Source organism: Homo sapiens, chromosome 14 (assembly GCF_000001405.40).
Source record: "Homo sapiens chromosome 14, GRCh38.p14 Primary Assembly".
NCBI lineage: Eukaryota > Metazoa > Chordata > Mammalia > Primates > Hominidae > Homo > Homo sapiens.
Window position 1 is genome coordinate 77,016,215 of NC_000014.9, and position 24,208 is coordinate 77,040,422.

A 24,208-nucleotide genomic window follows, 5' to 3' on the forward strand; every position below is an offset into this window, starting at 1 on the left:
TCCTGGGATGGCGAAATGGTGGATGATGGCTTTGATTGTTGTTCTAAGAAATTTGGACTTACCCTGTAGGCAACAGGGAGCCAAGGGAGGTTTCTAAGCAAGGGTGTGACTTGCTCAGATGTAGAAAAAAAATGGATTCTGCTACAAAGCCATGGCCTGAAGTGGGCAGACACCAGAGCTTACGGGAGACCAGTCAGGAGTTGGGACACTTCTCTCGAGTCTAACCTAAACCTGGGAGCCACAATTATAGTTCCCATGTAGAGAGGTAAGCTTTCCTGGATCCAGCACCCCAGACCTGGTGGATGCACACCTGTGACCCCCAAAGAGGCAGGACAATCAAGCTACGCCCAAGAGGTAACTGACCAGCATTTCAGCCTGAAGAAAACAAAACTGAGGCCAGGCACGGTGGCTCACGCCTGTAATCCCAGCACTTTGGGAGGCCGAGGCAGGCGTATCACCTGAGGTCAGGAGTTCAAGACCAGCCTGACCAACACGGAGAAACCCCGTCTCTACTAAAAATACAAAAATTAGCCAGGCATGATGGTGTGTGCCTGTAATCCCAGCTAGTTGGAAGGCTGAGGCAGGAGACTTGCTTGAACCCAGCAGGCGGAGGTTGCAGTGAGCCGAGATTGCACCATTGCACTCCAGCCTGGGCAACAAGAGTGAAACTCTGTCTCAAAAAAAAGCAAGACTGGGAGGGAAGACACCAGCTAGTGGGGTAGATACTCCCCACAGAAGCAATATACCTTACAAATCAGGGCCACTGCCTGTTTCCTGTCATCTCTCTGTTCCATCAAAAATGAGACAGAGGTAAGCTCATTTTTAAATTAAGTTTGAGGGTAGGAGGCAACTGAGGACGACTTCAGAAGAACAGCCCTGCTCCAGAATCCCTGATTGGAAATACTGCTTGGACAGCTCCACTGTGTTCCCTCAGAACATAGAACCTAGGACGGGTGCGGTAGCTCACGCCTGTGATCCCAGCACTTTGGGAGGCTGAGGTGGGCAGATCACTTGAGGTCAGGAGTTAGAGACCAGCCTGGCCAACATGGAGAAATCCCATCTCTACTAAAAGTACAAAAATTAGCTGGGCGTGGTTGCAGGCGTCTGTAATCCCAGCTACTCGGGAGGCTGAGGCAGGAGAGTCGCTTGAATCCTGGAGGCAGAGGTTGCAGTGAGCTGAGATCACGCCACTGCACTCCAGCCTGGGCAACAGAGACTCTATCTCTAAAAATATATATATAATAATAATAATAAAATAAAAATAATTAAAGATGAACATAGAACCTAGAAAGTGTTCTCCCCAAGGGGCTTCCTGACAGCCCTGCCTGTAGATAGCCTTGCTCACTGGTGTCGGTGAGGCTCACACTCAGACTCAAGGAGATGTGGAAAGGGCCAAGGGATGGGGCTGGTGCTGTGAGTCTTGGTTTCCTGGGCTCTGCAGGTCAGAAGTTTGTGGCCCTCTGCACAAAGGAACACTGGAGTCTGGGCAGACCCAGGCTCTAGGCTGCCTGGGGCTTGGATTGCACTGGGTCTAAAGGGCCTTGGCTACTTAACCTCTCTGAGCTCAGTTGGCACATCTATAAAGTGGGGCTCATCACGCCTTCCTCCTAGACAGGCCTAAAGCTGGAATGGTACAATGTGCAGCTGCCAGGCACATTGCACAGCATCTGGCCTGTCCCTAGACTCCTTCAGTTCCCCCTTTAGCTGTGGAGGAGAGATGGCCAGGCAGAGGTGGGTGGCAGGGAGAGAACTGAGAAGCCCCAAGCTGAAGGGAAAACGGGGGAGTCCTTGGTGTCCCTCCCTTACCCCCTCCTTCCATGCCAAGATAGTTGCTCCCTGTTGGTTTGGAGTCAGTTGCTTATCTGACTCTAAACCTTCAAAAGCCTGGGTAATGTACCAAGACCCCATCTCTTTAAAAAAAATGTTTAGCCAGGCATGGTGGTGACATGCACCTGTAGTCCCAGCTACTCAGGGGGCTGAGACGGGAGGATGGCTTGAGCCCAGGAGGTGGAGGCTGCAGTGAGCCGTGGACATGCCACTGCACTCCAGCCTGGGGAAGAGAGCGGGACCCTGTTCCAAAAAACAAAGAACAAACAAACAAAAAAACAAAAAACCTTCAAAAGTTTCCCATCAGCAAAGAGGGGAGGTGGTGTGAAGGGCCACAGATCAAAGGTTAAAAAAAGACTCTACCAGCCAGGCACAGTGGCTTACGCCTGTAATCCCAGCACTTTGGGAGGCAGAGGTGGGCAGATCACAAGGTTAGGAGTTCAAGGCCAGCCTGGCCAATATGGTGAAACCCCGTCTCTACTAAAAAGACAAAAATTAGCCAGGTGTGGTGATGGGCGCCTGTAGTCCCAGCTACTCAGGAGGCTGAGGCAGGAGAATCGCTTGAACCCAGGAGGCAGAGGTTGCAGTGGGCTGAGATCGCACCACTGCACTCCAGCCTGGGCGACAGAGTGAGACTCTGTCTCAAAAAAAAAAAAAAAAAAAGACTCTACCAGTTCAGGCCCACCTGACATTTACAGTCAGAAACCTAGAAATATCTCTGAACATTCCCTTCCCCCAAAGGCTACAAGGGATAAATGTTTTTTGCTAGTCCTCCAAGAATTAGTAAAAACGGTGAACCCCACTGGACCAGGTATCGCTATCCTTTTGCCCCCCTTATCATCACTCCTCATAGAAACTGTCCTTAAATTTTTCTTTCATCTTTTTTTTTCCCCAAGACTGCCCAGGCTAGTCTCAATCTCCTGGGCTTAAGCAATGCTCATGTCTCCTAAGTAGCTGGGATTACACCATCATGCCCAGCTCTCAAGTATTCTTTTTTTTTTTTTGAGATAGAGTTTTACTCTTGCCCAGGCTGGAGTGCAGTGGTGCAATCTCAACTCACTGCAACCTCCACCTCCTGGTTTCAAGAGATTCTCCTGCCTCACCTCCCGAGTAGCTGGGATTACAGGTGTGCACCACCACTCCTAATTTTGTATTTTTAGTAGAGATGGGGTTTCAGCATGTTGGCCAGGCTGGTCTCGAACTCCTGACCTTGAGTGATCCGCCCACCTTGGCCTCCCAAAGTGCTGGGATTACAGGCGTGAGCCACTGCGCCCGGCCTCAAGTATACTTAAAAAAAAAAAAAAAAAAAAAAAAAAGCCAGGCGCGGTGGCTCATGCCTGTAATCCCAGCACTTTGGGAGGCCGAGGCAGGCGGATCACGAGGTCAGGAGATCGAGACCATCCTAGCTAACACAGTGAAACCCCGTCTCTACTAAAAATACAAAAAATTAGCCAGGCTTGGTGGCGCACACCTGTAGTCCCAGCTACTCGGGAGGTTGAGGCAGGAGAATGGCGTGAACCCGGGAGGCGGAGCTTGCAGTGGGCCGAGATGGTGCCACTGCACTTCAGCCTGGGCAACGGAGCAAGACTCCGTCTCAAAAAAAAAAAAAAAAAAAAGAAGAAGTCGCCAGCCATGGTGGCTCACACCTGTAATCCCAGCACTTTGGGAGGCTGAGGCAGGTAGATCACAAGGTCAGGAGATCGAGACCATCCTGGCCAACAAGGTGAAACCCATCTTTACTAAAAATACAAAAAATTAGACAGGTGTGGTGGCGGGTGCCTGTAGTCCCAGCTACTCGGGAGGCTGAGGCAGGAGAATTGCTTCAACACGGGAGGCGGAGGTTGCAGTGAGCCGAGATTGCACCACTGCACTTCAGCCTGGGCGACAGAGTGAGACTCCGTCTCAAAAAAAAAAAAAAGGCTATTATAGCTGTTCCCTAATAAGAATCTAGCCCAGACTCTGCCACTGTGTGACCATAGGCAAGTTATTTCACCTCTCTGTGGCTTGGGGTCTTCATCATTACAAAGTGGATGGACCAAACATAAGTTCTTTTTTTTTTTTTTTTTTTTTTTTTTGAGACAGAGTTTTGCTCTTGTTGCCCAGGCTGGAGTGCAATGGTGCGATCTCAGCTCACTGCAACCTCTGCCTCCCAGGTTCAAGCAATTCTCCTGCCTTAGCCTCCTCAGTAGCTGGGATTACAGGGACGCGCCACCATGCCTGGCTAATTTTGTATTTTTAGTAGAGACGGGGTTTCTCCATGTTGGTCAGGCTGGTCTCGAACTCCCAACCTCAGGTGATCCGCCCACCTGAGTTTCCCATAGTGCTGGGATTACAGGCGTGAGCCACGGCGCCCGGCCAGACCAGACGTAAGTTCTAACCTCAATTCATGAATGGGCTTTAGATGTGCATAAATGCCTTGAGAAATTGAGTAGTATTGGTTGCATCCCAGAAGGGAACTGAGTAGCAGAGGGGCCATTGTACTATATTCCCCTTTGCATCCTTTGTTTTTTTGTTTGTTTGACGCAGGGTCTTGCTCTGTTGCCTAAGCTGGAGGGCAATGGCACAATCATTGCTCACTGCAACCTCGACCTCCCAGACTCAAGTGATCCTCCCGCCTCAGCCTCTCAAGTATCTGGGACCAGAGGCATGCACCACCTTGCCCAGCTAATTTTTGGTTGTTGTTTGTTTGTTTTGAGAAGGAGTCTAGCTCTGTCACCCAGGCTGGAGTGCAATGGTGTGATCTCGGCTCACTGCAACCTCCACCTCCCAGGTTCAAGCGATTCTCCCTCCTCAACCTCCTGAATAGCTGGGATTACAGACGTGTGCCACCACACCTGGCTGATTTTTTTCTATTTTTAGTAGAGACAAGTTTCACCTTGTTGGCCAGACTGGTCTTGAACTCCTGACCTCAAATGATCTGCCTGCCTGGGCCTCCCAAAGTGCTGGGATTATAGGTGTGGGCCACCACGCCCAGCCTGCCCGGCTAATCTTAAAATTTTTTTTGTAGAGGAAGGGTCTCACTATGTTGCCCAGACCAGTCTCGAACTCCTGGCCTAAAGCAATCCTCCTGCCTCAGCCTCCCAAAGTGCTGAGATTAAAGGCATAAGCCACCACTCCAGGCCTCATTCTTTGAGTTTTGAACCAAAGGAATGTATTACCTTCTCAAAAACAAATATATAAAATGTATATTAAAAAAGAAAAAAATGTATGCAAATCCTTGTGTATGTGGGCACTGGTATATCTTGGGGAGGAGCCATAATTTTTGCTAGATTTTTCCAAGGTGTCTCTGACCCCAGAAAGGTTTAGAGAACATTTCACTAGATGACCTTAAGAGTCATTCCCAGTGCAGTGGTGCTGTCTTGGCTCATTGCAACCTCTGTCTCCCAGGTTCAAGCAATTCTCATGCCTCAGCCTCCCGAGTAGCTGGGACTGCAGGCACACGTCACCACGCCCAGCTAATTTTTGTATTTTGTATTTTTAGTAGAGACGGGGTTTCACCATATTGGCCAGGCTAGTCTCGAACTCTTGACCTCAGGTGACCCGCCTGCCTCAGCCTCCCAAAGCGCCCAGCCCCAATTCCAACTTCCTGACTTGATGAAGTATTACAGAAAACAAAAGTGAGTTTCAGTATTTATTACATCAGCCAGTCTGGGCTGGATGCAAGTGAAAACGCACCTTGAATCTTACATTGAGGACTTGATACGGTGAGCCGCCTTCGATGGTGGACTATGGTGCTGCCTTCAGAGATCAAGGTCAAGAAATTACTCCCATTGGCCTATTCTCTCAAAGCTGTTGAATTGAGTCCTCATTGCCCCACCACTCTGCCCACTTAAACATGTCGTTTGGATTTGCTGCACAAATGATGCACAAAGATAAATATGAATTTTTAAATGTTGGCCACTTTGGCTCTGAGGGGAAAGGGAGTGAGAAGGATAGGAAACGAGGGTCAGAAGAAATGGAGGTAAAATGGAGATGAATGGAGCCTCGGCTCATCCAGAGGCCTGGGCTGAATCTCAGAAACCCACAAGAATCCTTACACGCCAGAGAGGAAAAGTGCTTCCTAGGCGTCCAATGTGGAAAGCTTCAGGGAAAGGAGAATCCAGCTGAGGGATCAGAGAAAGGCTGGTTAAGGCAACCAAACTAGCAGCTGAATGGGTCCCAGGAAAGGAAAAGTTCACATGGTTTAAAAAAAAAAAAAAGCCTCCATTTAACAAGTGGTCCCCGGCTATGATAAACTTTAATTAACTGCACTATCATAATTCACTTCTAGCCTGGGTTCCACCCCAACCTGCTCTCTCCCTCCCACTCCCTCCCTCCTCTCCCCAACGTCTCTAGTCAGGTTTCCTTAGTGAAACCAAACTGGCCTCCATGGCTGGATGCCTCATTATTACAGCTGCTGCTTCTACTGTTCATAATAGCACCCAGCAACAAGAAGGAAAGAAACGATGCTGTTCTCAGTGCTTAAAGACAGGCCCTCCTTTCCTACCTATGTGCACTAGTAATCAAGGGTCTTACAATCCTAAAAGTTCCTGAGCATAATACCATAGTGATGAAGAGACAGTTGCAGGCCGGCAGGAGCAGCTGTGCACAGAAACCGGTAACAGGGACAACTCCCAGCTGGAGCCACCAGACACAACTCATAAGGTCCACGCCCAGACAGGTGATCCACATGTCTAAATTCACATGCACTGTGCAATGCCGGAGGAGGGGTGGCTGCACCCACCGCTCCTTCCTTCAATGATAGTTAAATTATACCCGTGACACTGTATTCTCAGGCTGTTGAGCTTTACCAATTTTAAGAGTATGTGCCTTGGGAGCGGGAGTTGGGAGCATCTTAGAGGATCTTCCAGGCAAAACATGCTTGGTTTTTATTAATGAACTTACACAAAAAGCCAACCCAGACCTTTAAGTGCAATGTGTGATTGGTAGCCAGGCGAGGATGGGTTTTGGAATTAACTCTTCCTACAGTCTGCTATGCATTATCACCCCCAAGTTAATTACCCCTGCGGATGAAAATAGGTTTCATGACTCATAAGCACCAATACAACACTTGGCAGCAGATGAAAATGCAAGGACACATTTGCAGGAAGCTGACATGAATATCTATTTATATGTGGGGAGATTCTTAGAGGTGAGGCAGGCACCTCCCATGTACCAGGATTAAGAGGCTGCAGCAGATCCATCAATATTGCCACTTATCCACACCCACACACACACACGCGAGTGCGCGTGCACACAGAGTCCTGGTTTCCACCACTTCAGTGATGGCAGTGGCAAAGCAGGAAAAGAAACTAAAAGGGTGTTATTAACAAGTTCCGACACCAGCCCGGCCTCCACACCAGAGTTCTGGGCGAACCAGTGATTTGTTTCTCCCCAAACGTGCCTGTACCCATCCCCACCTCCCAGTCTTCCCACTCCTTTGATGGGAGTGGAGTGGGGGATCCAAGTTTCTTAATAGTCCTTCAGCCTTGGAGGGGACCAACAGGGCCCAGCTCGCCCCGCCCAGGAATGAGATGTGGCCAGGAATCAATTTGACTGGATTGCCGGGTTTTGTTTTGCTTCCTCCCTCCTGTTTTCTGCTCTTCTATTTGCCTCCCAGGAAAGTACAAGGTTCAGATCAGGTTTGTTTGCCTTCCCCTACCACTGGGAGGACTCCAGGCTGCTCTCAGCCCACGAGCAGGGGCTCTGCTCTAAAGGGCAGTAGTCTTCTCTCCGCTTCCCCGCCTCTCTGCACCTCACAAACGCCGCCAAAAGCTGATTAGATGAATAATTGCATTGCTTCACCAGCAGGAATGGATTTTTATTTGATGTTGGAAGTAAACCTTTGCTTCAGGAACTAAGTTTGGGGTTTCCCCCCCTCTTCCTCATCCTCAGAAACCCTCTCTAATCAACTAAGTCTTTAGAATTATTTCTGCCTTTAAAAATAATTATTTAAAATACAAGAAAGAAAACTTGTAATGAATGAGGTGAAAACTGGTTTTCCAAGGAACCAGCCTGAAGCTACTGCGGACTCTCCAAGGCTGAGTGTATGCATTTGCTCCCAGCTCTGTGGCAGTTTTGTTTTAAATATGCAGACTGATGTCTGTCATATCTAAGAAGCAAAGCATCCTAGCTTTTCTCCTAGACTTTTTCGCCCACTTGTCAAGTCACCAGCTGCACTGGGTGTCAGCCTATGTTCACCGCCACAGGGCGAGGCACCAGAAAGCATTCTTGACAATGCCATTTGCAGCTGGGCCCGCATCCGGGGGAAAATAGAGATGCTGAAGAGTAAACCGAAATCGCTTAGTCAGCAACTGTCGCCTCCCCAAGAGGTGAATTTAAATAGCCTGGTACCGAGGGGGAGGGGCAGCAAGGCAGCACAGGGCCTTTCCCACAGGCCAGCTCCCAGGGCTTTCAAAAGCACTAGGATTTTCGTTCTATACTGGAGGTAGGGAGGGTGTCGCCTACGTCGGAGTTGCATGGCCTTAGCCCTAGAAAGACAAAATTGCTGACTCAGCGCAGTTAATATCAATTGAATTTATTACAAGTTACTAAGCTCCAAGGCACATTACAGTGTTCTGTTAACTACAGAAATGTATAAAGGACAAACAGAGCAGATTCTCCATGTCTAGCATTTCGCTCTACTGTTCAAAAGCATCCGTGCATCAATAAAGCAAAAACAAAACAACACGTGTAGATCCAACACATTCAGGTCAGTAGAAACAAACCAAAACATTTTCCCCTCACAAACTTGCAACAAAATACACCCCATCCCCCCCGACACCCCCTTACCATTTTGCAAACAAAACAGAAAAACAAAACAAAACAACAAAATAAAGTGAAGACTTCAACACTTGGGGCAGTTTAGAAGGAAGCTTTCACCATTTTATAGCATTTTTTTTTTTTTTTTTTTTTTTTTTTTTTTTTTTTAGGCAGCAACACTGGCCTTGGCAAAAAAAAAAAAAAAAAAAAAAAAGTCTTTTTCTTTTGTGTGTGTTTTTCCTTTCAGAGAGTGCATAACATTTACAAAAATACACACCAGCAGCAGTCGTTGCTAAGGGCTATTAATTCTGTACCTAGGCAAACATTCTGCCACCAAATAAATGCTAACGATATGATGCAAATGACCCAACCAATACTATACTGCTTAACACAAACCAGCTTATCCTTCAAATGAAGAAGTTACATACCTTTGTTTCAAAATATAGAAACATACGACGAAAATAATGTCTATACATAAGACTAACTTTTTGCAGTTTCGTTATATTCACAATTCTACACCTTGGGGGTGAGGGGAGGGAGGGTCGAGTTGGGTTGGGGGAGGGGCCCTCAGGATTGGAGAGGAGCTGGTCTAGGGCAAAGGAGGTGGCTGCCCAGTGGTTCAAGGGTCTCTCTCCTTTTTCACTTTAACATCCCCAGCTAAGATAGTCGCGATTTCGCCCTGCATGAAGGCCCAAGGTACATTCGACCCGACTAGGGGGCATTTCTCTCCGCTGGGGCAATACACCTCGCCGGTGGCCCCCTGGGCCTTGATACTCTCTCTAGAGCAAGGGAAGCAAAATTTGTGGCTGGGGACGGAAGGGCACTGAACGAAATGCGTATCCTCCAAACGTTCGTGGCAAATGGTGCAGCAGAGGGGTCCGCTGTTGGCCATGGGGGAATCCGGAATGTTTTGGGGGTGCACTTGGTCCATGCCCGGGTGGGCGCTAGGCGGCGGGGGCGCCACCTGTAAATTCAGGTCCCCGTTACGTGATGCCAAGCGGCGCTGCCCCGGCACGGAGGCCGGCGAGACTGGGCTGCTGCTGTTTCGCCGCGCCGACGCAGTGGTAGAGTGCACGGAACTGCCATCCTTGGGCGAGTGCGCTGTGCCCAGAGTATCTGCCACCGACATGAGAGCGGCCATAGGGGACGGACCGTTCTGGGGGGCTGACTCAGGTGGGGTGGTCCGGTTGGAATGGGGTCCCAGAGGTGGGGGCGGCGGAGGCGGACCCCCCGCCGCGTGCCCCGGCGCCGCGAAGCCCCCGGCGGACATGGTGAGCTTCAGCGCCTCGCTCTGGTTCGCCATCCACTGCTGCCTCTGCTGTTCCTCGCCCAGCTTCAGCGCGCCCTCGGCTGAGTCCGGGGGCTCCGGAGAGGCCTTTCTCTTGCGCAGGCTGGCGGCTGCGCCCCGGCCCGACGGCGCGGCGGGCGGCAAGGCCCCGGTCCCCGGGGGTGCGCTGGGGGCGCGGCTCAGACTCACCAGAGCAGTGGGCAGCATGGGACAGCTGGCGTCCAGGTAGGGCTGGGGCAGCATGTCGGCGCCGGGCACGCCCTCCTTGAAGAAGCGCACGGCTTCGGGGAGCAGGTCTCCAAGCAGGCGCCAGTCCCCGGAGCCGTGCTTCTTTTCGTACTCCAGGTACTTGAAACCCGAGGATAGGCCCCGGCCGAAGTCCTTCATGCAGTCCTGATACATCTGCTTGGCCACACCAGATGCACTGGAGTACACGTTGCCCGAGCCCGTGGGGTACTCAATGAACAGCTTCAATTCGTAGTCCATGCCGGGCTTGGAGACGGCGTCGAAGGCGAAAACGCGGCCCAGCAGCGAGTGGTCCTTCTTGAAGCGAACCTCGTAGGGCGTGCAGCCTGCCAGCGTGAGCAGCGTGTCGCGGACCATCTTGGGCTTGCTGGCCCACTCCTCGGCGCGGTTGCGCAGGCTCTCGCTCAGCTCGGCCAGGGCCTCGGCGTTGCGCTGCTTCTCCTTCAACTCGCGCTCCTGGTCTGTGCTCGACACCGAGCCGGGCCTCTTACCACCAGCACCCACGCCCACCTCTGCCACCGACGAAGAGGTCGAAGACGACGCGGAGGACGACGTGGCCGATACACCCGGGGTACCCCCGAGACAAGCGGGGCCCCCAGGAGCCCCTGGGGGAGCAGGCGTCGGGGGCCCACGGCTGCCCAGGGCGTGGGGAGGGGGTGGGGGGAGTACCGCAGCGCTGGCCGGGCCGTTAAGCAGCGTCTGCGGTAGCAGGTTGGGGGGCACGGTGAGCTGGGGGCCTCCGCCACCCCCCGGGTTGGGCAGCCCCGTAACCAGCCCACCGTGCGTTCCACGCCGAGACGCCACCGACGCCGCCGCTGAAGAAGAATTGGGGCTCTGACGGTTCAGCTCTGGGGGTCCCTCCTCTGGTGTTGGTTTGGGGAAGCCGTTTGGGCCCCCCAGGCCGTTGGGCAGTCGCGCGGTGTGGCTGCTGCTTCCCAGGCTCACCGGCGGTGGCGGGTACTCGAAGCGGCTGCGCTGTTCCACCGCAGCGGCGGCGGCGGCGGCGGCGGCGGCGGCAGCGCTTAGGCCGTAGCGCTCCAGGCCAGACGGGGCCGCCAGCACCGCAGGCTTGCTGGAACCATCAACGTGGTTGAGCTGTTGTTGCTGCTGCTGCTGCTGCTGCTGCTGCTGCTGTTGCTGCTGCTGCTGCTGCTGTTGCTGTTGCTGTTGCGCGGCGGCGGCGGCGGCCGCCGCTGCTGCCGCCGCCGCCGCCGCTTCCTTAGCCGACAGGGCCACTGTCTTGACCCCGACGGGCGGCGGCGGCCCGGGGGAGCGGCCGTCCTGGAAGCAGCCGTGCGCCCGCTTCAGCTGGCGCGCTGTCTCGATCACGAATTCGATGCGATCAGCGCCCTCGTAGTTGACGCAACCGCGGCATACGGGTTCCGAGAAGTCCCAGATCATGGCCCAGGGCATGCGGGGCAGGTCGCACAGGTAGCAAGATTGTCTCCGGGACGAGGACACCTGCGCCGCCGACATGATGCCTGCCCTGGGGAAGGTAGGCCCCCGCCCGGGCTGTCTCCGCGGCGCCTTCTCCTCCGGGAGGACTGGCCGGCTGGGGAGGGAGTCCGACTGCGGGGGAGGGAGGAGGGGGGGCGAGAAAGTTCTGCCCCAGGGGCTGGAGGGAACGCGAGTCTCCACCGCCGGCGCAGCGCCTCGCCGTGGGGGCTCCACCGCCCGGGCAGCGGACGGGTTCAGCCCTCTCTTCGCCCCCACCTCCTACTGCGGTTGACTCGTCGCGAGGGGAGCTCAGGCGCCTTCTTCCTGGTGCTGCAGACTTGGGCTGGAAGCTCCCGGCCCGAGGGGAGGGGGCGAGGGTGCCCGGTGGTGGCCGCCGTTGCCTCTTGGCCCCCTCCCCGGAGTGGCTGGTGCGTGGAAGCTCGAAAGGGGCTGTCTCTTCCTCTCCCCGGGGACCCCCCTACGAGCTGCGTCCTCTCCCCGACGGGCCCCCTGGGGCGAGGGCCAGAGGGTTCAGTGCCACCCGGTGCCCGGGTCCAATCTTGCTGAAGCCGCTGCTTCCCCGGAGGACCGGGGGAGGGGGTGGCAGCCGAGAAAGGACCTTCTCCCCTCCGCAGCGTCGGCCGTTCTGCTGGCGGCGACTGGGTTTGCACCCCGGAGGGAGCCGCCGCGGCCACTGCTTCCAGGACGCACGAGAGCAGAGGAGAGGAGTGCACGCACGCAGGCTCCCGCCGCCCCCAGGCCTGGCCGGCGCCCGGGCCGCCGCGGCTGGCGGCGCTCACGTTGGCTGCAGGGCGCTCGCGCGGCGCCTCGGCCCGGGTCGCATCCCTTCCCGCTCGTGCTCACGCTCGCCCGGAATGTGGGGTTGTGATTGTTACTCTACGTTCCGGAGGCGCGTCTCGGCGCTCCTGCTCCGGCTGCGGCTCGCGCTGTCCCCGGCTTGGCCGCGCGGGATGCCGCCCGGGCGGAGCGCTGACGTCACCGCCATGCTCTGCACCAGTTCTTCCCCCTCCCCTTTACACTTCCTCTGTGGAGCCCACTTGTTGCTCAGGCAAGGCGCATGCGCGGCAGGACGCCCAGATTCCTCCCAGCCGGCCCCTCCTCCGCGCCTCCGCCCTCCCCTCCCCCCTCGCCGTGTGTGTACAACAGCTGAGGCCCGGCGAGCTAATGCTGGAAGTCCAGAGCTGGGGGTGGAAATTAAACAGACGATGACCTTTCCTTTCCCTGCCGGGCATTCCCAAGTAAAAACGCATTTAAGAACCACTAGCGTCGTTTCCGATCCCTGCTCCCCACCCCACCCCCAAGCCTCGGCAGTGAATTTAAATGTCCTGTTTCAGGATTTTTCGCCGTGAATTTCGTATAAGGTATTAACCATTTCATCTGCGGTTGAACCTTATCCCCCCCGGCATGGATGTTAAATTCATCGCCACCACTGATGCCGAAGCACCTGCAAAATTAGCTGTTTTCCAATCTTCCAGAAATTGTCTTTTCTATTTGTTTTTGTGCCCTGATCTAGGAACCCGGGCTTCAACGATAGAGCTAAATGAATTCAGAGTGCGCTACCCTTCCCCCCAGCCGCACTTTAAAAATTTTGGCTGAACGTCTGAAGAAGATACGAGCACCCCGAGGCCTTTAAGGAAAACAGGCAACTGGCTGCGCACAGCTGCAGTTCAGGGCAGGGAGGGGGAGGGGCCGGAGAGGCCAAACAGGTGAGTGTTTTTTCTAGAGTTTGATTTTTAAAAGGTGGAGGCAGCATTTAATAATACTGATACATTTTTGTAAAGCACAGCCGCAGTTTTCAAAGTTCTTTCTCAGGCGCTGTGATCTCACTCCATGTTGCCCCAGAAGGCGGAACAAGGCCGTGATTTTTTTTTTTTTTTTTTTTTAAGACGGAGTCTTGCTCTGTCGCCCAGGCTGGAGTGCAAAATGGCGCGATCTCGGCTCACTGCAACCTCTGCCTCGCAGGTTCAAGCGATTCTTCCGCCTCAGCCTCCCAAGTAGCTGTGATTACCGGCACCCGCCATCAGGCCCAGCTAATTTTTTGTATTTTTGTAGAGACATGGTTTCACCATGTTAGCCAGCTGGTCTTGAACTCCTGACCTCAGGTGATCCTCCCGCCTCGGCCTTCCAAAGTGCTGGGATTACAAGCATGAACCACCACGCCCGGCCAAGGCCGTGATTTCTTCTGCCTTACAAGATCACTGCTCATCAGTATTGCTTATGGCACGATGGATATGTTGGTCATAGCTCTAGTTGGGGCATTTCTATTGATTATTCTAATTATTGGGTTTGCTTTTTTTTTTTTTTTTATTTCATGAAAACTGAGATAATCCCAGGGAAGGCTGGAGAAGGGAAAGCAATATAATGGGATTTCGGATTCTGAAGTGTGGCCCACCAGATTGAAATTTCCTCTCCATCACTAACTGGCTCTCCACCCTTAAGCTAGTTACCCACAAAATCTCTCTTTTCCATGGAAAAGAGAATGGAATGATAGCTCCCAGGTTGTTAGGGTTGTTTGAGATTTCAACTTCGGTTTTTTGTTTTTTTGAGATAGGATCTTGTTCTGTTGCCCAGGCTGGAGTGCAGTGGCACACTCGCGGCTGGCAGCAGCCTGACCTCCCAGGCTCAAGTAATCCTCCCACCTCAGCCTCCCTAGTAGCTGGGACTACAGGCATGTGCCATTACACCTGGCCAATTTTTTTGTATTTTTGGAAAGGGATGGGGTTTTGCCGTGTTGCCCAGGCTGGTCTCAAACTCCTGGGCCCAAGTGATGCACCCACCTTGGCCTCCCAAAGTGTTGGGATTACAGGCATGAGCCACCTCACCCGGCCTCAATTTGTTTCTTGTCATAAGAAGAGATAACGCTTACTTAGACTTGCCGTGGGACCTTAGTAAACTAGGTGGCTTTACTTGCATCACCCTTAATATTATCTACATTATTAAGGGGATATTATCTATAGTATTTTGTTGTTGTTTTGAGACAGAGTCCACTCTGTCACCCAGGCTGGAGTACAGTGACGCAATCTCAGCTCACTGCAACCTCCACCTCCCAGGTTCAAGCAATTCTCCTGCCTCAGTCTCCCAAGTACCTGGGGATACAGGCGCCCGCCACCACACCCAGCTCATTTTTGTATTTTTAGTAGAGACGGACTTTCACCATGTTGGCCAGGCTGGTCTCGAACTCCTGACCTCAGGTGATCCTCCCGCCTCAGCCTCCCAAAGTGCTGGGATTACAGGCATGACCCACCGTGACCGGCCTATTACAGTATTAAACCCTTAATATTATCTACAGGGTAGATTCTTTTACCTCCATTTTACAAACCAGGAAAGTAAAGAGGCTATATAACTTGCCTACAGCCATTAGTGATGGGGCTGGGATTTGAATCCAGTAAATCTGATTTGAGGTGTCTTTGACAAGCTCAGGCTTGCAGAGGTGGTTTGGGGTGCTCAAAATTCCCATCAGCCCCAGTTGATTTGGTGTTACATACAATCTTACGTAAGTACTATGCCAATACACCTTCATAACCAACCCCCAGCCTCCCCTTCCAAGCGCATTTGTACCACTGAGTTCTATATACAGAAGTTGTAGATCTGTCACTACCAGACTGTAACTTAAATACACCATACAGAATGGAGAGCAGTGTTGGACTCACAGTTAGTGTTAGTTATTATTAGTATTGATACTAGTGTTGGTACTATTGCTGGTTGACATGTGACAGTACTTAGTAAACTGCATAAATTGTGAGGATCACTATTATCACTCTTATTACTAGTAATTGCAATAAAGTTCAGTGGAAGCAACAAGAGATACTTACTTTTATTTTGACACTTGACTTCCAGAGCCTGTTCCCCTATCCAACCCTCCCCAGAGCCCCAATCTCCCACTCATTCTGGGGCCCCTGAGTGCAAAGGAAAGGCGAGTTTTTAAGGACAGAAGAGGAGGAGGAGCCCTAGGGAGCCCCTCTTTCATCTCAAAGCAGCCAGATTTCTGTTTTTGCAAAACAGTGAGCTCACTGTGCACTCTAGAGCAATAATAAACTTTCTCTGGCCTGCTGGCACTTTGCAGTGATTCCTCTGCAAAGAGTTGCTTGGGGAGCATTGCCTCACTCTCCCAGACTTCAGCCCTCCCCACACTACCGCTACCCTGGAGTGAGTCAAAACATAGGGGTGGGAAATGGTTTGACATCCCCGCCAGCCTGGGGCTCCTTAGCTTTGGCTCGGTTGGGTGACCCATTTCTTTACATTAATATTTATTCAGCCCTTCCCTTTATTAAACCAAAAATATTAGGGAAATAGCAACTTAGCCACAACCCTCCAGCCAGGCTGCTAGAGAAAGCAAGTTGGATTCTATGTCATGGTGTTATGTTTGGTATGCACACACATATGTCTCCATCTCCCTGTCTGTCTCTGTCTTCACTGTTACTAAAGGAGATATATATACACACATACATGCTGGGGTGCCTTCAGACACACTGAGTTAGAAATCAACGTGTATTTAAACAGACTTCCATTACAGACTCATAATCCTTTCATTTATAAAACACAGCTGTCTCCAAACCGCCCCCCCCCCCCCAACCAAAAAAAAGAATCAACATCATTTGTGGTATCTCTTGTTGCCTGAGATGGCCGTTTGGGGATGTGTGAGAGACGGTGAGAGGCTAGAACTCCAGTGTTCTGGAGGTGGGTTTTCTCCCTGAAGAAGAGTCCCGTGGAACAAAACTATGACAACGGTGGAAAGGAACTGGAAAGGATTTGGGAGGGGGGTGGTGGAGGTGGAGGAGCCTCAACGTAAACTGCCAGGTGTAGAGACTCAAAGAACTCTGTCCATGGGGTCTGGGAGACAAGCAGAGACTAGCAGAGCCGGGCGCCAAACGGCGGCATCATCTTCCCAAAGTTCCTTCCTACTGTCGCTTTCCCCACCCAGCTTGCCATCTGGGCTGGCATCCTCAGAGAACCCTGCTCTAAACTGGAGCAAAAGGTCAGCTTTCCACCTGGCCTTGCCGGAGCACCATAGCCCAAGGTTACTAGTGGTGAGAAGGTCGCCAGGCGCGCACTTCGAAGCTCCCTGCACTCTCTCTCCTGCCCCCGCCGTTTTGTGGCAGAGACGGGGCGCGGGTGTGTGTGTGTGTTGCGGAGGGGGGGCTCTTGGCCTGGCAGCCCTGCAGTCAGCTGGCTCAACCTTCAAGGAGGCCCGGGCTGAACCTCGCGTCACCCTGCTGCAACGCGCGCCGCCAAGCGCTCCAGCGAGAGAAAGGCCTTTTTTGGTAACAGCCCCGCGGTAAGCGGGACCCACTTCTCTGGCCTGCGAGATCCGCCTTGGAGAAGATGAAAACAAACGTCTGCGTTGGGCCCTCCTCTGGCCTTTCGATGGCCCCTGATCGCCGCGCGCCAGGAACCCCAGAGGCGCAGTTTGAGCCCTGGGCCTGTAGAGACGAGCAAAGGGGCTGGGGAGGGTGGGGGAAGGGAGACAGCAAGATGATTTACAGATTTACTCCCAGGCCCATTCCGTGGCGGAAGTATTTGCCTTTCCCTAAAGGAGTAATCCCGGTATTTGAAAAAAAAAAAAAAAAAGTATTAACTTAGGCCAGGGCGTAGGGTTACGCAAGAGCCACTCGAGCATGAAATCCCAGGAACAACGTGATTCGCTGAGAAGCCCCGGGGGAGGAAAGCCTGCACCGCCTGCCAGGACCTGCCCAGCCTGGGGCGCGCGGGCAGCCGGGCTCTCCGTGCAAAATCGGGTGGAAGGAAAAGGAGAGCGGGCGTAGTGTTTAGTGCAGGCACAGTGGCCACAGCGAGCGATGGATCTCTGACTGATTTCTTCCTGGAGGGGCGGGGAACAGGGAGGGGAAGAAAGGCGGGGGGAGTCGCGTCTGGTTCCTGCCTCCTCCCCGCTTCCTCTCTTTGCCCGCGTGCCAGGATGGGGGAGCCCAGCGCTGTCCTCAGCAAAAGCTGGTGTGGTTTTTTTAGGTCCAAAAATAAAGGAACCCTGGAATGAGCCGCCCAGGTACCAGGCCTAGAGGTAAAAAAAAAAAAGAGGGAAGAGCCAGACAAGGATGCTATTCACTGACCTGGTTGGGTTAAAACAAATACCCACACCCCAAAAAGGGGGGTTGGAGAGGAAGGAAGCCTTGGACGGCAAGAATAGGCAGAAAGCTGGCAGGGCGGCCGACCAGGCCACAGGTGCGCATACCCCCGGACCCTCCACCCCGCCGGGCGCGCGCCTGGGCCTCAGCAGGGAGTAGGAGTGCCAGCCAGTTCCCACTGGCCCACACCGACCTGGGGATTTCCACCGTCCGGCTACGGAGACCCGTTGCCGCCGGCGCTTTCCTGCTGGGGCCACCAGAAGGCGGGGCCTCAGAGCGGGAAGCCCCTCCCTGCAGCCTCGCCATCCCTCGGTCAGGTCTGGTACATGGGGCAGCTGTCACTGCTGTGCCTGGTTGGGATGGATGGGCCAGGATCTTCAAATATTTTGGCTTGCGTGAGCTGAGTAGTTCAACCCGAAACTCAGGAGAGAGGGAGGAAGGGAGGGCGCTTAGCATTTGGGTACATATTTACATTATGTTGTTTAACTTGGACTTGGCTGACCCTAAACAGCTGTGTAAACTTGAGCAAATCTCTTGAATTTCGGTTTCTTCATCCGTAAAATGGGAAAAAGTTACACTGCTTCCTTTGCCTGCCTCGTTGATCTGTGTGGAAGACAATGTAATGTGCTTAATAAAATGTAAGAAATTATTAACAATACAATGACCAACATTTGTCTAGGGCTCGGAAGAGCATTCCCAGACATTATTTCACCAATCCCTACATCAACCCTGTGAAGTAGGTGTTACTTTCATCAACCTCCTGTATAGGTGAGGAAAGCCAAGTCCAGAATTACTGGAAACCAGGTTCCCTGGCTGTAAAACGCATTTCTTCTTTCACCCCGCCTGTTGCTATACCTTTTTGAGGGTCTCAGATGCTCCTCAGAAACTGCAAGAAATTAAAACCTCTCTCCCCATTGGAGTTTACAGGTTCATGTCCCAGTAGATGCAAGGTTATACATAAATTAGCACAGGTTATTTTGGAGTTAAAATCACTATCCAGCTTTGAAGCAAAATTGAGTAGTTATGCTTTCCTGGCATCCTGTAAAACCATTCTCTTTCTTCCTGCCTTTTTTTTTCTTTTACTTTCTTTCTTTTTCTTTTTTTTTTTTTTTTTTGGAGAAAGTCTCACTTCAGTTGCCCAGGCTGAGTGCCGTGGTGCCATCTCAGCCCATACAGCCTCAACCTCCCTGGCTCAGATGATTCTCCCACCTCAGCCTCCCAAGTAGATGGGACTACAGGTGTGTGCCATCACGCCTAGCTCATTTTTTATTTTTAGTATTAAAAAAAAAGAGAGAGATGGGATTTTGCCATGTTGCCCAGGCTGGTCTCAAACTCCTGGACTCCAGTAATCCACCTGCTTGGGCCTCCCAAAGTGCTAAGATTACAGGCGTGAGCAACTGCGCTCAGCCCCTGCCAAAACAAAAACAAAAACATGTTATTTATTTATTTTGAGACAGGGTCTCACCCATGCTGGAGTGCAGTGGTACGATCTCTCACCTCAGCCTTAGGAGTAGCTGGGACTACAGGCATGCACCACCCCATACCTAGCTTAGTTTTTTATTTTTTGTAGACACGGGGATCTCACTATGTTGCCCAGGCCTGTCTCTTCTGGGCTCAGGCAGTTCTCTCACCTCAGCCTCCCAAAGTACAGGGATTACCACCGCATCTGGTCTCTTCCTGCCTTTTCTATACCCCGGTCCTTGGCAGAGGTGATGGAGGAAAATCTGAAGTTCTAGAACTCACTGAAGCATTTAGGAATTTACTGAGATACCCTTACCAAGGACAGCAGCATTTTCATTGTGCACTCTTGAGAAAGACCCCAGGCTGAACAATAAACAAGGAGGAAAATGAAGAGAGTGCATTTTATAGTGGAAGGAGCCTCTTCTCATACCCAAAAGTCATATCACATAAGTAACGTGCGCCACCTTATACGGGTCACACCAGCTGTATAGACACTCACCCAACATGTACTGTCCTGTCCTTAGGCTAGGGGCCACATGATTGTGGCAGGCTACAGTCCTCAAAGCACTTCTGGCCACCAGGTGCAGTGCAGTTGTGCACACCTGTAGTGCCAGCTACTTGGGAGGCTGAGGTGGGAGGATCACTTGAGCCCAGGAGTAGTTCAAGACTGCAGTGAACTATGATCACACCACTGCATTCCACTATTCCACCCTGGGTGACAGAGCAAGACCTTTTTTTTTGAGATGGAGTCTCACTCTACGCCCAGGCTGGAGTGCAGTGGCGCAATCTCGGCTCACTGCAACCTCCACCTCCTGGGTTCAAGCGATTCTCCTGTCTCGGCCTCCCAAGTAGCTGGGATTACAGGTGCCTGCCACCATGCCTGGCTAATTTTTGTATATATTGTTTCATGGGGTTTCACCATGTTTGCCAGGCTGGTCTCGAACTCCAGACCTCAGGTAATCTACCTCAGCCTCCCAAAGTGCTGAGATTACAGGTGTGAGCCACCGCACCCAGCCTTCATCTCTTAAGAGAAAAAAAAAAAAGCACTTCTAGCCAAGGGTAGGTGTATAGCTCTGACATCAAATCTGGCCTAGGCATCACTGGAGCAAGAAAGCCCGGAAACAAAGTGACCCCTCCAACACATGTAGAGGACCACCATACTTTAACCTGAACTCCCCTCTCTGGCCGTACACAGAAGAGTAAGCTTGATAGGTTCCTGGTGTGAAACTATTCTCAGTACTTACATTTTGTTTCGAAGCTGAAACTTGGCTACCAGATGGCCTGGTGGGTTTCTGTTCCCCAACTCCCTAACCAGTGCCCTTCCATTTACCATTCATTCAGTTATTCAACTATTTATTTAGGGAACACTTTCTATCTCAGTGCTGGATGAACCAAGCCAGACTGGCTGTAGCCCAGAATCTAGAAGCTTCCATTTCCTCCTAGGTGTCCTACTTTCCTGATGCAATAGCCCAAAAGTCATAAGAGGCAGAGCTTTTTCAATACTCCCACCAGCCACATGACTGACTTAGAGCAATCTATTTATTCTCTCTGGGACTCCATTTCTTCACCTGTCAAAGGTTGATATTAAAACCTGTTCTCCCTACTTCAGGGGTTTGCTATGAAATTCTGTATGTTAATGCCTAGGGCTGTAGAAAGGCGAGACACTGTGACAAATCTTTTTTCCAGCGCTAAGCCCTTCGAGGTAAAATGGGTGGAAAGCCAGGCCTGCCGCTAAGCCCTGTCCACTCTCTTCATCTTGCCCTTGGAGGGCCTCCTCCTGGGGGGCCAATCTAGCATGTCCATGTCCTTCTGGGCTGGCAGACAAACAAGCAATGACAAGCTTTAGGCCTAAAAGCTGGAGAAAGACAATAGCAAGGTTAGGCTGTTTGTTTCTCATCTCTCCTAGAGAGACAAGGATATCCCCTCCCCAAATCCCTGGTGGTGGCAGTGAAGCTCGGAGCAGTTGGATTTATTTAGGGCTTTTACTTTTTTTTTTTGTTTTGGCCAATTTGGAAAGAAAAGAGGCAATGACCTCTTCTTTAAAAAACAAAACTAGGCAGGAAGTGTACTGGGCCTGAGTGGCAGGGACTAAGGGTGTAATTACAGGTTTTTGTTCAGCATTTTCGAGTAATTAAATCCAAAGGAAAGCGAGCCTAGCCGAGGCTTCTTGGATGCAGGGCAGAGAAGAGCTGTGTGTATGTGTGTGTTTTGTGTGTGTTGGGATGGGGAGGAGAGGCAGGAGGTGAGAAATGGATTTGCTTTTCAGGCTGAGAAGAAGCGGGCTTCTCGCCTTTATTAATATTTTTACATTGCTTTTTCCAAAAGGTAGCCGATTATTCATCTTTTATTCGGTGCCACTGCCCTCTCCTTGGTGACATTTTCAGCGTGCACAGCTTTCTAGGCACTGATTTTCCTTCACGCCAACTCTCCCCCTCCCCACTTTTTCATATTCCCGCTTTCTGCCTGGTTGCCCACACAATAAACCCACTGCAAAATCCGCAGCCAGCTTTCTTGCCTACAGCTTCCATCCCAGCGACCTCCGACGCTGAACAATAGTCTCTCCTTTTGTTTTAAACATCTTCTGGCTTTCCTTGTTCCGCTTTAAAATACTTCTTACCACCACCATCCCTACCCAGCCTCCCCCGTGGTTGCCTCGGTTTCCTTTTGGGACAAGCAGTCTGTGCACAAGCGCACCTGGTTTGCAACGCCCAGAGCGTTTGAAATGGGTTCAAAGCCTAGGGATGCGCGGGCTCCTCTCTCCTCCCCTCCTCTTCCTTCCCTCTCCCTGGGCCCTTGATGTCCCTCCGACGTTCCCTGGACGTTGTGAAGTGACAAGCAAGAAAGCATATACTGTCTGCTCACATTTTTAAGGGCAGGAAACCTGACTCACCCCCAGACCACGCGCCCCAAGGAGGGGCACTTGCATTTTCCGGCGGGTGGGGGGGCGGCCTCTACTAGGGTTAGCTGGGGCCGGCCTGGAGGCTGCCCCCTCCTCTTCCTCCTTCTCCTACCCCCACCCCACATCATGCCCGCAGATTACCGCCCCCACTTCCCCCGCCAGTCCCCTTCACCTACTCTCCCCAAGAACAGATTGTTTATCAGAACGGGCAGCCAAGAAACCTACTCCTGTTTCTGGCCTCTGCCAGAGATTAATCACACTTGGGAATGGCACAAAACTTGACTGTGTTGGGAAGGGGTGAGGCGTAGGGGGTAGGAAGGTGGGGAGATGTGGGGTGGGGGGATAGTTAAAAGGAAAGACCAATACATTTGACAAGGTGACCAAATCGGGGTTACCGCTGCCTCTCCCCTCCTTTAATTTTAGTAAGTCAGTGCAGAAGACGGAATTCTACTTCATTCCCACTCCCTCTACCCCCACCCCCAATTACCTTCCTTCTTCTCTAGGTCTTCATGTTTGATGCTTTAATAGTACTGACTGGCTTTTAATTCTGATTAACATTCTCAGCTGGTGCGTGCGTGTGTGTGTGTGTGTGTGTGTGTGTGCGCGCGCGCGCCCTCGAGCGCGCGTTGGGGCCTGGCAAGACACACTCAAACCGGACTGCCTGACAAATCCCCCCTTTTCATCCTTCTCTTTGAAATGACATCAAGATGGACTTGTGGGGGGGGAGGGATGAAGAGAGGAGGCACGGAAAAAAGAGAGGGAGGGGGAAGGAATTTATGTGCTTTTCTACGGCAGCTAGTAAAATTCCTAAGGGAGAACAAATGCCAAAATTGACTGTCTTGGTGTATTTTAGACCCGATCGTCAGGGTGAATCATGTCAGGGCTTTGCAGTGGACCTGCAGCCTGGGAGCTGAAGACAGGGACACGAAACATCCCTGTGTCTGGGAGGTGCCCTTCTGAAAGAGGCAGGAGATGGGTATTTGCTCTCACCAGGCTCCTCTCCTTCAGGATTTTTTTTTTTCTAATTCATTGCAAGATGGAGTTTTTTTTTAAAAAATTGGCACTGATAAAAGCCAAGGATAGAAAACTCCCCATAAAACACGGCCCCCCAAGGGAAGTGCAAAACCCATTTGATGCAAAATATAGATATCTTCACCCTGGATTTTTCCCCCTTTGCTTTACAACTCTGCAGACATCAGGTTAGCAAAAGGTAATAAATAGTCCTTGCACAGCAGGGTCTGGACTAGTGAAAACAGTTTACTGAAATTAATGGGCCTCGTTTGAACCAAAACCTCCACTTTGGAATTAATGCCAGACATAGTTTTCCTGAACTCTATCCAACCGCCTAAGCGGCAGACAATTTTCATTCTATTTGTGCTGGAAAATAAAGCCCAAGCCCTTGATCTCAGTGTAGATTTTCATTAAAAAAAAAAAAAAAGTACAGTGAATACTATGCCAATTTCCACTTTCTGCCCATAGAAGCCCTTGTGCTCTGGGCTGTGCGTGACGGTCAGAAGTTATCTGGTAAACTTTGCATTGAAAAGCATCTCCGAACTCCCTCCCCATCTGTGGCCTCACAGCTTTCACCATGACATCTGAGAGATTCAAGGAAAGCTCCAGAAACAGGCTTAGCTCTCAATAACAACCCTCTTCCCTACAGATCTTAGAAAGGCTGGATCTGAACAACGCTGCCTGCAAGACCTCCATTCCCACCCTAAATAAAGCGCCAAACCATCCAACCGAAACCCACCCCTCCTCCCCTGGTACTCAGGGTGTCTACAGCTCTGAGGCTCCCTTTATTTTTATTTTTATTAATGTATTTTTAAGGCTGAAAGGCACACACACCACACGCATTCACACCCAGTGGTTATGGGGTTTTGGCAGGTACGCGGAGACCCGGTGCCCCAGCTGTCAGTGTCTGATCCCAACCCCTCCTCCTCCTCCCTCCGTTATTTATTAATAAAAGCCTGGTCGTGGGCAGCCGGCGTTCTGGTTTTCATTGTACAGTCTGCACTGGTGACACAGGACATGTGGAAAATTTTGAGAGCACTGCGGTGAATAGTGTGGAGGGGGAGCGTGAGCAGGGGGAGGGGAGGGGAGGGAGGGGAGCGAGTTACTTTTTAGCTTCCGCTAAGTACTTGGCGGCTCGCCAGGCCCGGAGAATTGTGGGAAGCGAAAACCTCCCCAGTATAAACTGCCAGCTTTAAG

General features: G+C 51.8%; 1 protein-coding gene and 2 long non-coding RNA genes across 5 annotated transcripts, besides 9 other annotated features; 1 reads left to right on the plus strand and 2 right to left on the minus strand.

Annotated features, from left to right (window-relative positions):
• Positions 7,332 to 7,626: an enhancer, noted in NCBI's record as "tiled region #8154; HepG2 Activating DNase unmatched - State 1:Tss". NCBI's record gives its function as "activates a minimal TATA promoter and a strong SV40 promoter by Sharpr-MPRA in HepG2 cells {active_cell/tissue: HepG2}" and the evidence as "EXISTENCE:reporter gene assay evidence [ECO:0000049][PMID:27701403]".
• Positions 7,833 to 8,058: a silencer, noted in NCBI's record as "fragment chr14:77490390-77490615 (GRCh37/hg19 assembly coordinates)". NCBI's record gives its function as "represses an EF-1alpha promoter that drives an FKBP-Casp9 reporter gene in an ReSE screen in both phorbol 12-myristate 13-acetate-treated (for megakaryocytic differentiation) and untreated K562 erythroleukemia cells {active_cell/tissue: K562 | K562(+PMA)}" and the evidence as "EXISTENCE:reporter gene assay evidence [ECO:0000049][PMID:32094911]".
• Positions 8,329 to 12,494, minus strand: IRF2BPL (interferon regulatory factor 2 binding protein like). The gene has a single exon (NM_024496.4). The coding sequence runs from the start codon at positions 11,576 to 11,578 to the stop codon at positions 9,188 to 9,190; it is 2,391 nt and encodes a 796-aa protein (NP_078772.1). The 5' UTR covers positions 11,579 to 12,494; the 3' UTR covers positions 8,329 to 9,187.
• Positions 11,254 to 15,358, plus strand: LOC107984638 (uncharacterized). 3 transcript variants are annotated; one of them, NR_190002.1, is made up of 4 exons: positions 11,254 to 11,597; positions 13,074 to 13,266; positions 13,447 to 13,522; positions 13,613 to 15,358. It is a non-coding gene; the product is annotated as an uncharacterized LOC107984638 (long non-coding RNA). The 3 variants fall into 3 exon arrangements; NR_190001.1 differs by having other exon boundaries at positions 13,447 to 15,358; NR_190000.1 differs by lacking the exons at positions 13,074 to 13,266; positions 13,447 to 13,522; positions 13,613 to 15,358 and adding an exon at positions 12,175 to 12,820.
• Positions 11,624 to 12,123: a silencer, noted in NCBI's record as "silent region_5961". NCBI's record gives its function as "represses an Ori minimal core promoter by ATAC-STARR-seq in GM12878 lymphoblastoid cells {active_cell/tissue: GM12878}" and the evidence as "EXISTENCE:reporter gene assay evidence [ECO:0000049][PMID:35858748]".
• Positions 12,244 to 12,453: a silencer, noted in NCBI's record as "silent region_5962". NCBI's record gives its function as "represses an Ori minimal core promoter by ATAC-STARR-seq in GM12878 lymphoblastoid cells {active_cell/tissue: GM12878}" and the evidence as "EXISTENCE:reporter gene assay evidence [ECO:0000049][PMID:35858748]".
• Positions 12,654 to 12,783: a silencer, noted in NCBI's record as "silent region_5963". NCBI's record gives its function as "represses an Ori minimal core promoter by ATAC-STARR-seq in GM12878 lymphoblastoid cells {active_cell/tissue: GM12878}" and the evidence as "EXISTENCE:reporter gene assay evidence [ECO:0000049][PMID:35858748]".
• Positions 13,547 to 14,067: an enhancer, noted in NCBI's record as "H3K27ac-H3K4me1 hESC enhancer chr14:77496104-77496624 (GRCh37/hg19 assembly coordinates)". NCBI's record gives its function as "activates a minimal SCP1, AML or CMV promoter by ChIP-STARR-seq in naive H9 embryonic stem cells {active_cell/tissue: H9 hESC(naive)}" and the evidence as "EXISTENCE:reporter gene assay evidence [ECO:0000049][PMID:30033119]".
• LOC105370579 (uncharacterized) lies at positions 15,345 to 17,992 on the minus strand. The gene is made up of 2 exons (NR_169510.1): positions 17,626 to 17,992; positions 15,345 to 17,001 (listed from the first exon to the last, which is right to left on the minus strand). It is a non-coding gene; the product is annotated as an uncharacterized LOC105370579 (long non-coding RNA).
• Positions 16,640 to 17,189: an enhancer, noted in NCBI's record as "NANOG-H3K27ac-H3K4me1 hESC enhancer chr14:77499197-77499746 (GRCh37/hg19 assembly coordinates)". NCBI's record gives its function as "activates a minimal SCP1, AML or CMV promoter by ChIP-STARR-seq in primed H9 embryonic stem cells {active_cell/tissue: H9 hESC(primed)}" and the evidence as "EXISTENCE:reporter gene assay evidence [ECO:0000049][PMID:30033119]".
• Positions 16,780 to 17,029: an enhancer, noted in NCBI's record as "active region_8786". NCBI's record gives its function as "activates an Ori minimal core promoter by ATAC-STARR-seq in GM12878 lymphoblastoid cells {active_cell/tissue: GM12878}" and the evidence as "EXISTENCE:reporter gene assay evidence [ECO:0000049][PMID:35858748]".
• Positions 24,008 to 24,197: a silencer, noted in NCBI's record as "silent region_5964". NCBI's record gives its function as "represses an Ori minimal core promoter by ATAC-STARR-seq in GM12878 lymphoblastoid cells {active_cell/tissue: GM12878}" and the evidence as "EXISTENCE:reporter gene assay evidence [ECO:0000049][PMID:35858748]".

What these genes read in the sequence shown, in the direction of transcription:
- IRF2BPL (NM_024496.4), bottom strand. Translation starts at nt 11,578, where the DNA reads ATGTCGGCGGCGCAGGTGTCCTCGTCCCGGAGACAATCTTGCTACCTG.